This window comes from Homo sapiens, chromosome 2, assembly GCF_000001405.40.
Source record: "Homo sapiens chromosome 2, GRCh38.p14 Primary Assembly".
NCBI lineage: Eukaryota > Metazoa > Chordata > Mammalia > Primates > Hominidae > Homo > Homo sapiens.
The window spans coordinates 33,923,995-33,936,125 of NC_000002.12; the positions used below are offsets into that span (position 1 = coordinate 33,923,995).

At 38.0% G+C, this 12,131-nt stretch overlaps 1 long non-coding RNA gene across 1 annotated transcript in view; it reads left to right on the forward strand.

The window, feature by feature from the left end:
- Positions 1–12,131, forward strand: part of LINC01317 (long intergenic non-protein coding RNA 1317) — a 590,861-nt gene that overhangs the window by 217,109 nt on the left and 361,621 nt on the right. The window contains exon 3 of the long non-coding RNA NR_126403.1: positions 2,846–2,974. This is a non-coding gene — a long non-coding RNA (long intergenic non-protein coding RNA 1317). The remainder of the gene's footprint in view (positions 1–2,845; positions 2,975–12,131) is intronic.

Genomic DNA, 12,131 nt, shown 5'->3' on the forward strand with positions numbered 1-12,131 from the left:
ATAAGTTTTAACTTTAATTTGTTCTGCCCACATTGCTTGACAATTTAAGAAATAGTTTCTTTAGTAAAGTCTGAAACTGATAGCTATTATATTTTTCTATGAAATGTTTTGCTCTTTATGTGTTGCCTATACTGCAGTCTATCCTCTAAAATCACTTTTAGTTTTTCCTTTTCACGTGCTTTTTTTTTCAATCTCTTTTTAATTTCTCACTTTTATTATTATGTCCTGGGAGATTTTTAAAAACCCTTCATTTTTTGACAGGGCTTTTTTTTTAAGATAATAATGTTTTGCCTAATTATCTTGCAGTATCTACAGCCCTTAATATGTGGTGAGAATTTAATACACATTTAACAGCAAAAGATTTATGCTTGACCTTTTCAGATGGATATCAATTGTATTAGATTTCCTAATTAGCCATTGGTCTAACCTCACTGGTGCTTCAAAATTTAGGTGGTGGCCCCTCAACATGTAAAGCTCTAGTGTTATTCTCAATAAGAGAATAACAAGAATGTGAACTTGTAAAGGCTTTTAGTGATGGTAATGGCCAGGCTTCATAGCATTAGCCATCACTTGCAAAACCTTGACCTCCATGTTTCTTACTAGATATGGTCACACATGTTATTACGGGAGCCCTTGGCTTCTCCCCTTCACCTCTAGGGAAGCAATTATTTCTATTCTACTTAGAAAAACTGTATCCTATATAGTGGTTGTCTTCCTGCTTCCCAGGAAATAATCTGCTGGAATTCAAAATACAATTACCACGCTTGACCACTTTCCTATATCCTGGAGCTGACCATTATTAATGGCATCCAATTATTCATAGCAATCAAGCAGCTGACCTTGCTAAACAGATCACCGCAGTGGGCATCTGACAGTCAGTCTGCTGGCTGGGCATAATAGAAGGAGACAATGTCATATCCTGGTCCATCTTTGGTGAAAACAACATGTCACTTGCAGACTTACTGGAATGCTATAATGACTTGATTGCTAGATTTAGCCTGTCATTATTTTAAAAGCATGTGTTTATATATGCTGGCAGGAGCAGGAAAAAGAAGTTGGTTTAGGTAAGCTTGGTGTCTGAGAATGTCTTTGGCTTGCTCTGTATCACTGCAAATTAACAGAGTGACCTTTGATTAATCATTTAGGTTTCTAAGCTTGAATTTTTTTGTCAATTCTAAAATGAGGGCATTTTGCCTACTTTCAAGGGTGGGCATGAGAGTTGAATGATATAAGCATGATGAAACAATCAGGTAAGCAGCAGTTGCTCCATCACTGTCAGTTTCCTGTCCATTGAGTCAATCTGCGCCTTGGCTCCAACAGAGATAAAAGGAATAACATACGGGCTTTTTTATTCCTCCCTAAGGTGCAGGATAGGTTTTGACTCCCACATGAATGCTGCTTTTTCATTTTTCTTTTTCCACAAGCCCACAAGTCAAAGGTTTTTCTTTATTGTGCTGTGGCATTAAAGTGTGATATTTGTTTGCAGTGAAGGATCTTAAGCATAAAAACTGACATAAATTTCCAGGTGGTTGGCTTTTGACTCTTCAGTTTCCTTGACTCTATTTTCCCTTTGAGTTGGCATGATCTATAACAGCTCTGCTCCAACTGCAGAAAGGAGCAAATTGTTTACCTTTGAAAGTACATTAATTCTCTCATGCCACCAGGAGGGGGGTTTTCACAAGGAACCAACTTTATTTGAATTTTAAGCCAAGCAGTTTGAAGGGGGATGGAAAAATGCACACAGTTAATATTCACTAGAGTGTCACTGACAGGTCTAATTCAAAGTGACCACATAAAAACTCCTTTATTAGTCCTTTCTCCTTGTCACTATGAGTTATGCTCTAGTGTCATTTGCATCCCGTTTAAAAATCCATACTTTTATAAGTTTGCTAGATTGAAATGAAGATGAAATATTCTCTTTAGAATTTCTTATCTACATTGCTTACCAGTGGTGAATATGCAATGCATTTAACTTGCCATGAACCTTATGAAGCATCAAGCAGAACTTACTAAGAGAAATGGGAACTTAATTTTAAAGAAGTTGGCTGAGAGTGTCTGATTAGCCCTGAGGGCAATTGGGAATTTCCTGCTGACCTGTGAAATAGCCTGTATTTCTGCACTCCTGGTGGGCCATATGGCTATACAAATAGGTGAAGGAGGGTGCACAGAGGGACCTTGTGGTGGCTTAGGACTCTGGTACATTCAGCCTGTAGGCTGGGCAATTTAGAAAGTGGCCCTGTCTGCTTTGTAGGTAGTAAAATGCCATAGCGGCTAAAGGAATAGACTTAAATCCTGACAGATCGAGGTTTTTTTTTTGTTTTGTTTTGTTTTTTTTTTGAGACGGAGTCTCGCTCTGTCGCCCAGGCTGGAGTGCAGTGGCGCAATCTTGGCTCACTGAAAGCTCTGCCTCCCCATTTCATGCCATTCTCCTGCCTCAGCCTCCCGAGTAGATGGGACTACAGGCGCCCACCACCACGCCCAGGTAATTTTTTGTATTTTTAGTAGAGACGGGGTTTCACTGTGTTAGCCAGGATGTTCTCGATATCCTGACCTCGTGATCTGCCTGTCTTGGCCTCCCAAAGTGCTGGGATTACAGGCGTGAGCCACTGCACCTGGCTGACAGATCGAGTTTTAAATGTTAGCTTTTCACTTTTATCACTACGGTTTTCTTATGTGAGAAATAACAGTAACTGTCAAGGCTCTTGAAGACTTGGATGAGATGATACATGCGCTAGTATTCTCTTGCTACATGCAGTATATTGAATAGTGCCCCCTAAAAGATATGTCCAGGTATAAATTCCCAGAACTGTGAATATGATCTCATTTGCAAAAATGGTCTTTGCAGGTATAATGAAGAATCTTGAGGTCCTCCTGGATTACCAAAGTGGGCCCTAAATCCAGTGGCAGAAGACACAGACACAGAGAGGAGACCAGGTGAAGACAAAAGAAGAGGCTGGAGTGATGCAACCATCAGGTAAGGAAAACCAACAACTATCAGGAGCCGGAAGAGGCAAGAAACGGAATCTCTTCTACAGGATCTGGAGGAGTGTGGTTCTGTGAACACCTTGATTTCAGACTTCTGATCTGCAATTCTGTGCGATAAAATGCTGATGCTTTTTTTTTTTTTTTTTTTTTTTTTTTTGAGACGGAGTCTCGCTCTGTCGCCCAGGCTGGAGTGCAGTGGCGGGATCTCGGCTCACTGCAAGCTCCGCCTCCCGGGTTCACGCCATTCTCCTGCCTCAGCCTCCCAAGTAGCTGGGACTACAGGCGCCTGCCACTACGCCCGGCTAATTTTTTGTATTTTTAGTAGAGACGGGGTTTCACCGTTTTAGCCGGGATGGTCTCGATCTCCTGACCTTGTGATCCGCCCGCTTCGGCCTCCCAAAGTGCTGGGATTACAGGCGTGAGCCACCGCGCCCGGCCAGATGCTTAAAATCACTTTTGGCTGGGTGCTGTAGCTCACGCCTGTAATCCCAGCACTCTGGCAGGCCAAGGCAGGCAGATCACGAGGTCAAGAGATCGAGACCATCCTGGCCAACATGGTGAGACCCCGTCTCTACTAAAAATACAAAAATTAGCTGGGCATGGTGGCCCGCGCCTGTAATCCCAGCTACTCGGGAGGCTGAGGCAGGATAAACTCTTGAACCCGGGAGGCAGAGATTGCAGTGAGCCGAGATCGTGCCATTGCACTCCAGCCTGGCGACAGAGCAAGACGCCGTCTCAAAAAAAAAAAAAAACAATTGGGATTCAAATGACACTCAGACATCTCTCATAGTGACAAGGAAATAGGACTAATAAAGGACTTTTTATGTGGTCACTTTGAATCAGATGTGACAATGACAGATTAGTAAATATAAACTGTGTGTGTTTCCCCATCCTCCTTCAAATTGCTTGGCTTAAAATTCAAATGTTAGTTCCTTGTGAAACTCTCCCTCCTACTGGCATGAGAGAATTCATGTATTTCTGAAAGTAAACAATTTCCTTCTTTCTGCAGACACAGACAAATAGAACACAAATCTTCACTGCAGGATTAAATGCTATGACGAAATCTAGTTGGGTTTGGGACAAAGAACAGAAGGATTACTTAAATGGTAGAATCAGTGTGGTGGGCTCCTGGCAAAGATGGGAACAGGGACAGAAGTAGAGACATTGGTTTTAAGCAAATGACTAAGCATGGATAACAGAGGCAGAAGTCTTAGGGAAAAATAAGTATTTTTGTAGAGGACTTCTGTTATTAAAGCAAAGTGTTGACTTCAAAATTTGACATTGCCATCAGGCATGAGAAGCAGAAGACTTTTGCTGGGTCGAATATTGTTGTTCTGTGTACGGCACAGCAAGGGAACTTCCTGGATGTTCTAGGGAAGGGATGGGCAATCTTTGACCCTAAAGAGCCAGGTGGTAAAGAGCTTATGGGCTATATGGTCTGACTTTACATTATAGCATGAAAGCATTGATAGACAATATGTAAACAAATGAGTCTGAGACAGTTCCAAACTTTATTTATTGGACACTGAAATCTGGGTTTCATATAGTTTCCACATGTCTTGATACATATTTTTTGTCAACCATTTAAAAATGTAATAACCATTCTTAGATTGAAAGTTGTACCAGAACAGGCAGTGAGATATATGTGGCCCTTTCACAGTTTGCCAAGCCCTGTTATACAGAGTGCAGCTTCTGTTCCTACAAGGAAAGGAGCAAGCTTTTATGTCTAGATATTCTTCTGCAAGCAGCAACAAGCAGGCAGAGTGGAGAGTTATATGGGGAAGAGAAGTTTCCTTGGGCAAAGCCGTGTGATCTCTGCAGAATTCTCAGCTCCTGCTGGCCCAATAATCATGGGCCTGAGCTTGACTAAAAAATATTATTTTTTGCTTCATGAATCAACATTTAATGATAATGTTTCTACTTGATGTTTCAGTGACAAAAGTGCAAATTGTGCGTGAAATTGATGTACATTATTCCATAATGAAGTAATCTGAATAGAAAAACACATTAGGTATTTATATTGACAACAAGCCATTTAAAACTATTAGGACATTTTGAAAAGGAGAACCATGTCCCTGAAAACATGAATGACTGGAAATTGGAGCTATTTAGTTGTGACCAGGGAGATGGAGCATTCTGTTCCAGCACTGCCCAGTTGCCTTTATGGTCATAGATTTTAAAATGATGAAAGACAGTTTGTATCTCTTGTTCTGTGACATCATTTTCTCAATGATAATAAATAGTGCATTCCTCTATAACTTCATTTACAACCTTCACCACACTTTGGGGCTCTGGAAATATGCTGATAAACAAATGGTTATGAATTTGAATGTGAATTTGTGAAATACTCTGTGGATTTAAGTATCTTATTATTCAGATCTTGTGGGTACTCCACAAATTATTAAGCTTAAGTTATGCCATGTCAATTCTGAAGTATCTGCCTTCCACCTTCTTTTAAAACTTTGCATTTTATACTCACCGATTCCATATCAGTTTCCACAAAAGTACATCCTCTTGTCAATAAGCTTTTGTAGGTTTAAGATTAAATGTCAATGTAAGTGGCACTACTCTGTACAGATAATAGATTTTTAGAGCTTAAGGTGGCCTCAGAGATGACCTAACCCAACTTCCTGATTTTACACCTGAAGGAAATGACAGCGAAGTGACTTTGTGATTCATTAGTTTCACCATTGGCCATAGGTGGTTTCTATTTCACCCTATACTGAAACTTGGCCCTCCACTATACAGTCTGAAATACTTGGTCAGCGGTTTGTAAGAGAGACAAATTATTCTCAGCGTCTCTTCTGTAGCCTCTATTTTTCTCATAAATATATCTGAAAGATCAGGAAATCACAAGCGGGTTGGATTAGGAACTTTCTTTTCACTTAGCCCATGGCTTTGGATCTTGATGCTAGAAACTATTCCATTAATATTGTTACTTGTTAAAAAAAAATTAAATTCGATTTTTAGATTTGGAGGTACATGTATGTGTTTATTCCATAGGTATATTGCATACTGGTGGGGATTGGGATGTTACCTTTACTAAGAGAGTAAATTGGGCCTGGCGCAGTGGCTCATGCCTGTAATCCCAACACTTTGGGAGGCCGAGGTGGGAGGATCACGAGGTCAGGAGATGGAGACCATCCTGGCTAACACGGTGAAACCCCATCTCTACTAAAAATACAAAAATTAGCCTGGCGTGGTGGCAGGTGCCTGTAGTCCCAGCTACTCGGGATGCTGAGGTAGGAAAATGGTGTGAACCTGGGAGGCGGAGCTTGCAGTGAGCTGAGATCGTGCCACTGCGCTCCAGCCTGGGTGACAGAGCGAGACTCCGTCTCAAACAAACAAACAAACAAACAAATAAACAAACAAAAAGACTAGTGATGGGGTAGAGGTCAATGGGTACAGGAAGCAACAGTTAGTATAAAGGCATCTAGTTGGGGCAACTGTGTCACACAGAGAATGGTCAATATTTGTCTTTGGGCAGGCAGCAAAACTGTGCGAAACTGCAGAACTAATCCCTGGATTTGGGGCAGGATCCAACTTTTGGGAAGAACTCTAGCAAGACATATCCACATCCTCAGCTGGGGTTTAGAGGGCTAGGAATGAGAATTTTCTAGAACTCATTCTAGGGGAGAGGAACCTAGAGAGAAGCCCAGAAACCTTGTAATGGAAAAAAGGCAATGAGAAAGGGGAGGAAAAGAAGCTGAGTAATTAAACATTTAAGCTCATATTTCCTCTGTGTGGCCTTAGGGAGTGAGTTCTCAATGCAGTCACTCAAACAGATATGCAGAGGTAGCAAAGGCAGGGTTGAGGGCAGTGGCCTGGTCTGCCCCTGTCACTCCAATGTAGATTATCCTTAATCATTGTGTATGAGCCTTGTCTGTTTTTTGCATGGTCTGTTGAGTCTAGCAATGCTTACTTTCTCTGCAGAGATTTTCAATTTGGAAAGTTTTGTGATTCTGTGAAAACCAATTCTTCATGAAATCTGGAGACAACATTTTTTAACTGCTTTTATTGCAGAGGAAAGAATAGACAATAGCATTCCATATCATAAATTCCTATTACTAATATGGTAGAGCTATAGAAAATGAAATGGCCTTTTATGTATTTAAGTTTGCACTCATAGGGTTATCAGAGTATCAGCCAATGGGTTTTGCTTCAGCAATTCTTGTGTCGGCATTTGATTATTAGCACTAGTGCTATGTATAAATACCTAAATCATAAAAAGTATTTAAAAAATATAACGTTTCCTTAAAACTCATTGAAAAACCCAGTCTCGGAGGTGGAAGTGATCTGGTCCTTTCTTGACTCACCTTTGCTCCCAGTAGATGAGCCTGCTTACCAGAGTGCTTTCTTTTGCTTGGTCTCAGTTCTGCTTTTGGGCAATTCCACAAGATCATAAGCAGGATCTTGGGTCAGCTTCATGCCCATCTTGCTGCTCTTTTTCCTGTTAACCAGGATGCCCATATGTGGATCTGGGTGAAGCTTCACATGCCTAACAATGGCATATCCTTATCGGTGCAATGATTATATTTACATCCCCAAGGTGGGAACTCAATAATTCCACTCTATAGGATCTAAGCTGATCTAATTTCTGGGAGTGCTGCTTGCTGAGATGTAGTTACTTTGGGTGGGTTTTTGAACCCTGACTCATGTATAACTCTGGGCCTTTCTGACCTGTCATCCGAGGTTCCTTTCTGAATACCTGAAACCTACATTCTATGTTTTGATCTCTAGTGCTATGCAAATTATGGGTGTGAAGCTTGATCTGCACAACCTATTTTCTTCACCTGTTTTCTACTTCTTTGCATTCTGTCATGAACGTTAAACTTCTCTTACTTGTTATAAGAGTAAGAAGCCTCTTCTAGGATCTGATTCAGTCTTAGCGTACTTACTGCTCCCAAATCATTTCCTAGCCTCTATACAGATGCCAGTGTCTTGATTCCTTCACCCCTCCTGCCTTTTCTCTGGTTCTCTGGGTCCCTTAACAATCTCATCTCAATTATCTTGCTAACCAATACCTTTTCAATACCTCTTGAATATCTAAAACTATCCTCATTCTTTCCTATCTCAATCCAAGACTAAATGTCAATGCCAGAAGCCTTCTACATTAAAATAAAAACAAGAACCAAACCAAACCGAACTATACATACTTAAGAAACATTTAGAAGCACCCTACCATCATTGGATTAGTGAAAAAACAGGGTCGTATACCTAGATAGCCTTATATGCATTTATGTCACAGCCTGACCAGGTTTATTTTGATAGATTGCTGTCTACCTTAAAAGGAAATACTTTCTGCAGAGCTCCATGTACAACATGAAAAACTACCTTTAGTTGTATTCATAAATAATATTTGAAGTAGAAAACAGTTTGCCTTACCAGAACCCTTCTTTACTTTGAAATGACTGATAAAATTTCCTTAAAATATTTCAATGATATGAAAAATATGTTAGGACATTTTATTATTTATTGCTTTCGATATAACATGAACACAATGCCTGCAACTGGTTTTCAGAGGATTTGAGTTTTGATCATTTATCTTTTGATTTATTGGTTGGAAACATTTCCCTCACTGAGAGGCTTCTTTCATAAATTGTGGGATATCACACAGTTTGTAAAATAACCTGGAAAAAGAAAAGAAAGTAATAATTTTAAAAATCCATTTGATAATTTTAGCTGGATTTTGTCTTCTGATGTAGGCTTTCTTAAGCCTGTTGAGAGAGGCTTCTTTCAAAACTATTTTCTTTTTAATAAGAAGGAAAATTAACATAAACTTTATTTTTTAAATAAATTTTTAATTTAAGGCCCAGCATATGGACTGTCTTGGTTAATATGCCATCTGTGTTTTAAAAGAATGGTATGCTACTGTTGGGGTATTCTTTGAATGTCAAATTATGGTTATTTTTCTATATGATTACTAATTTTCTATGTACTTGTTCTATCAATTACTGAGAAATAAGTTTTTGAAATCTTCAATTATAATTACAAATTTGTACTCCATAAAATCTGTAGTTTTTTATTTATTTTTAAGTTCTATTTTTAGGTGCGCTCACATTTAGGGTTTTTATGCCTTCTTTATGAACTCCTTTATCATTATGATTCTTTTATCTTTATCCTTGTTAATATATCTTCATTTAAAGTCTACTTTATCTAGTATTAATGTAACCACATCAGCTTTATGATTAATATTTGCCTGGCACATATTTTTCCACAAACTTACTTTCAACATGTCTATATATTTTTTAATATGTCTTTATATTTGTAGCCTGCCTGCCTTCTTCCCTTCTTTCTCACCTCCCCTTCCCTCCCCTCCCCTCCCTCCCTGCCTCCCTCAGTTCTGCTTTTGGGCAATTCCACAAGATCATGAGCAGGATCTTGGGTCAGCTTCATGCCCATCTTGCTGCTCTTTTGCCTGTTAACAAGGATGCCCTATGTGGATCTGGGTGAAGGTTGCATTTACAACCTTCACCACACTTTGGGGCTCTGGAAATATGCTGGAAATATCCCTCCCTCCCTCCCTCCCTCCCTCCCTCCCTTCCCTCCTTCCTTCCTTCCCTCCTTCCTTCCTTCCTTCCTTCCTTCCTTCCTTCCTTCCTTCCTTCCTTCCTTCCTTCCTTCCTTCCTTCGGACAGTATATAGTTGGGTCTTATATTTTATACAGTCTGACATGTCTACCTTTTAATTGGAATGTTTGGACTATTTATATTTTAGGAAAACATTTATTTAAGATTGGAGGATTGTAGTTACTTCTTCCTGAAATGTTTGATGATATTTACCAGTGAATTTCAGTTTCATTGATTTTTCTCTTTTGTTTGTCCACTTTATATTTCATTGATTTCCACATTTATTTTTTTATTTTCTGCTTTCTACTTACTTTGGGTTTATTTTGCTCTTATTTTACTAGCTGCTTTTTTTAAATTTTATTATTATTATACTTTAAGTTTTTGGGTACATGTGCACAACATGCAGGTTTCTTACATATGTATACATGTGCCATATTGGTGTGCTGCACCCATTAACTTGTCATTTAGCATTAGCTATATCTCCTAATGCTATCCCTCCCCCCTCTCCCCACCCCATTATTTTACTAGTTTCTTAAAATGAACCTGGATTATTAATTTTAACTTTGCTTTTTCTCTAATGTAAGCATCTCAAGATATATATTTTCCTTTAAGGATTGCTTTAGTTGTAACACACAAAGTTTATTTTAAAAATTAATTTATATTTTATGATATTTTTCTTTATATTAAAATTAACATATAATTGTACATATTTATAGGGTACATAGTGGTGTTTTGATATATATATATAATGTATAGCAATCAGATCAGGGTAATTGGCATATTCATTATCTCAATTATTTATGGTTTCTTCATGTTGGGAATATGCAATATCTTCCTTCTAGCTATTTGAATTTATGAATTATTAACTTTGGTCATTCTACAGTGCTATAGAACACTATAACTTATTCTTTCTATCTAGCTGTAATTTTGTATCCTCTAACAAATCTCTCCCTATAACCCCCTTATTTCTACTCTTCCCAGCCTCTGGTATCTTCTGTTCTACTTTTTACTTCTATGAGATGAACATTTTTTAGCTTTCACATATGAGTGAGAATATGCGGTGTTTCACTTTCTGTGCCTGGCTCATTTCACTGAACATAATGTCCTCCAGTTTCAACCATGTTCTGTGAATGACAGGATTTATTTTTTTTTAATGTCCAAATAGTATTCCATTGTGTGTATATACCACATTTTAAAAACTCATTCATCTGTTGTTAGACACCTAAGTTGATTTCACATATTGGCTATTGTGAACAGTGCTGCAACAAACATGGGAATGCAGATGTGTCATCTAGATACTGATTTTCCTATTCTTTGGATAAATGGCCAGCAGTGGTACTGCTGGATCTTATGGAAGTTCTGTTGACAGTATTTTGATGAGCCTCTGTACTATTCTCCATTGTAACCATACTACTTTACATTCCTACCAAGAGTGTATGAGTTCCCTTTTCAGCATTTGTTATTTTTTGTCTTTTTGATAATAGCCATCCTAACTGGGGTGAGATGATACCTTGTTGTGGTTTTGATTTGCATTTCCCTGGTGATTAATGATATTGAGCATTTTTTTCATATATTTGTTGGCTATTTGTATGTCTTTTTTTTGGAGAAATGTCTATTCATATTATTTACCCATTTAAAAATCAGATTGTTTTTTGCTGTTGAGATGTTTGAATTTCTTATATATTCTGGATATTAATCACCTATTTGATGGAGAGTTTGCAAATATTTTCTCCCATTCTGTAGGTTGCCTCTTCACTCTGATTGTTTCTTTTGTTGTGCAAAAGCTTTTTAGTTTGATATAATCTCATTTGTTTGTTGTTACTTTTGTTGCCTGTGACTTTGTGGTCTTCTTTATAAAGTCTTTTCTCAGACCAATGTCCTGAAGCATTTCCCCTATGTTTTCTTCTGGTAGTTTATAGTATGGGGTCTTAAGTTCAGGTCTTTGATCCATTTTGAGTTGATTTTTCTATAGGGAAAGAGGTGGGGGGTCTAGTTTCATTCTTTTGCATGTATATATTTAGTTTTTTCAGAACCATTTATTGAAGAGACTGTCCTTTCCCCATTGTGTGTTCTGGATTCTTTTGGCAAAAATCAGTTGGCTATAGTTATAGGGACTAATTTCTGGCCACCCACGAAGTTTAATTTGTTGTATTTTCATTATTCAGGTAAAAATATTTCTATTTGCTTTGGTAATGTTTTCCTTTTACTCATGTTTTACTTAGAATTATGTTGTTTAATTTTCAAATATTTGGGGATATTACAGATATAATTTTGTTACTGATTTCTAATATAATTCTATTTTAGTTAGAAAATGTATTCTGTATGTTTTCAATCATTTGAAATTAAGGTATGTTTTCTGACCCAACATATGGTCTATCTTGTGCACATCAAAAGAATGCAATTGCTTTGAGTAGTGGTCTCTATAATTTCAATTAATTTCATTTAGTATTTTAAAATTGTTTAACAGTGCATTTCACATCATCAAGATCCTTTGATTTTTTTAAAACATTGTGATATGCTCCTCTTTGTTTTTACTGTTATTCCTTTTCTTGAAGCACTTTTTGTCTAATTTTTAAA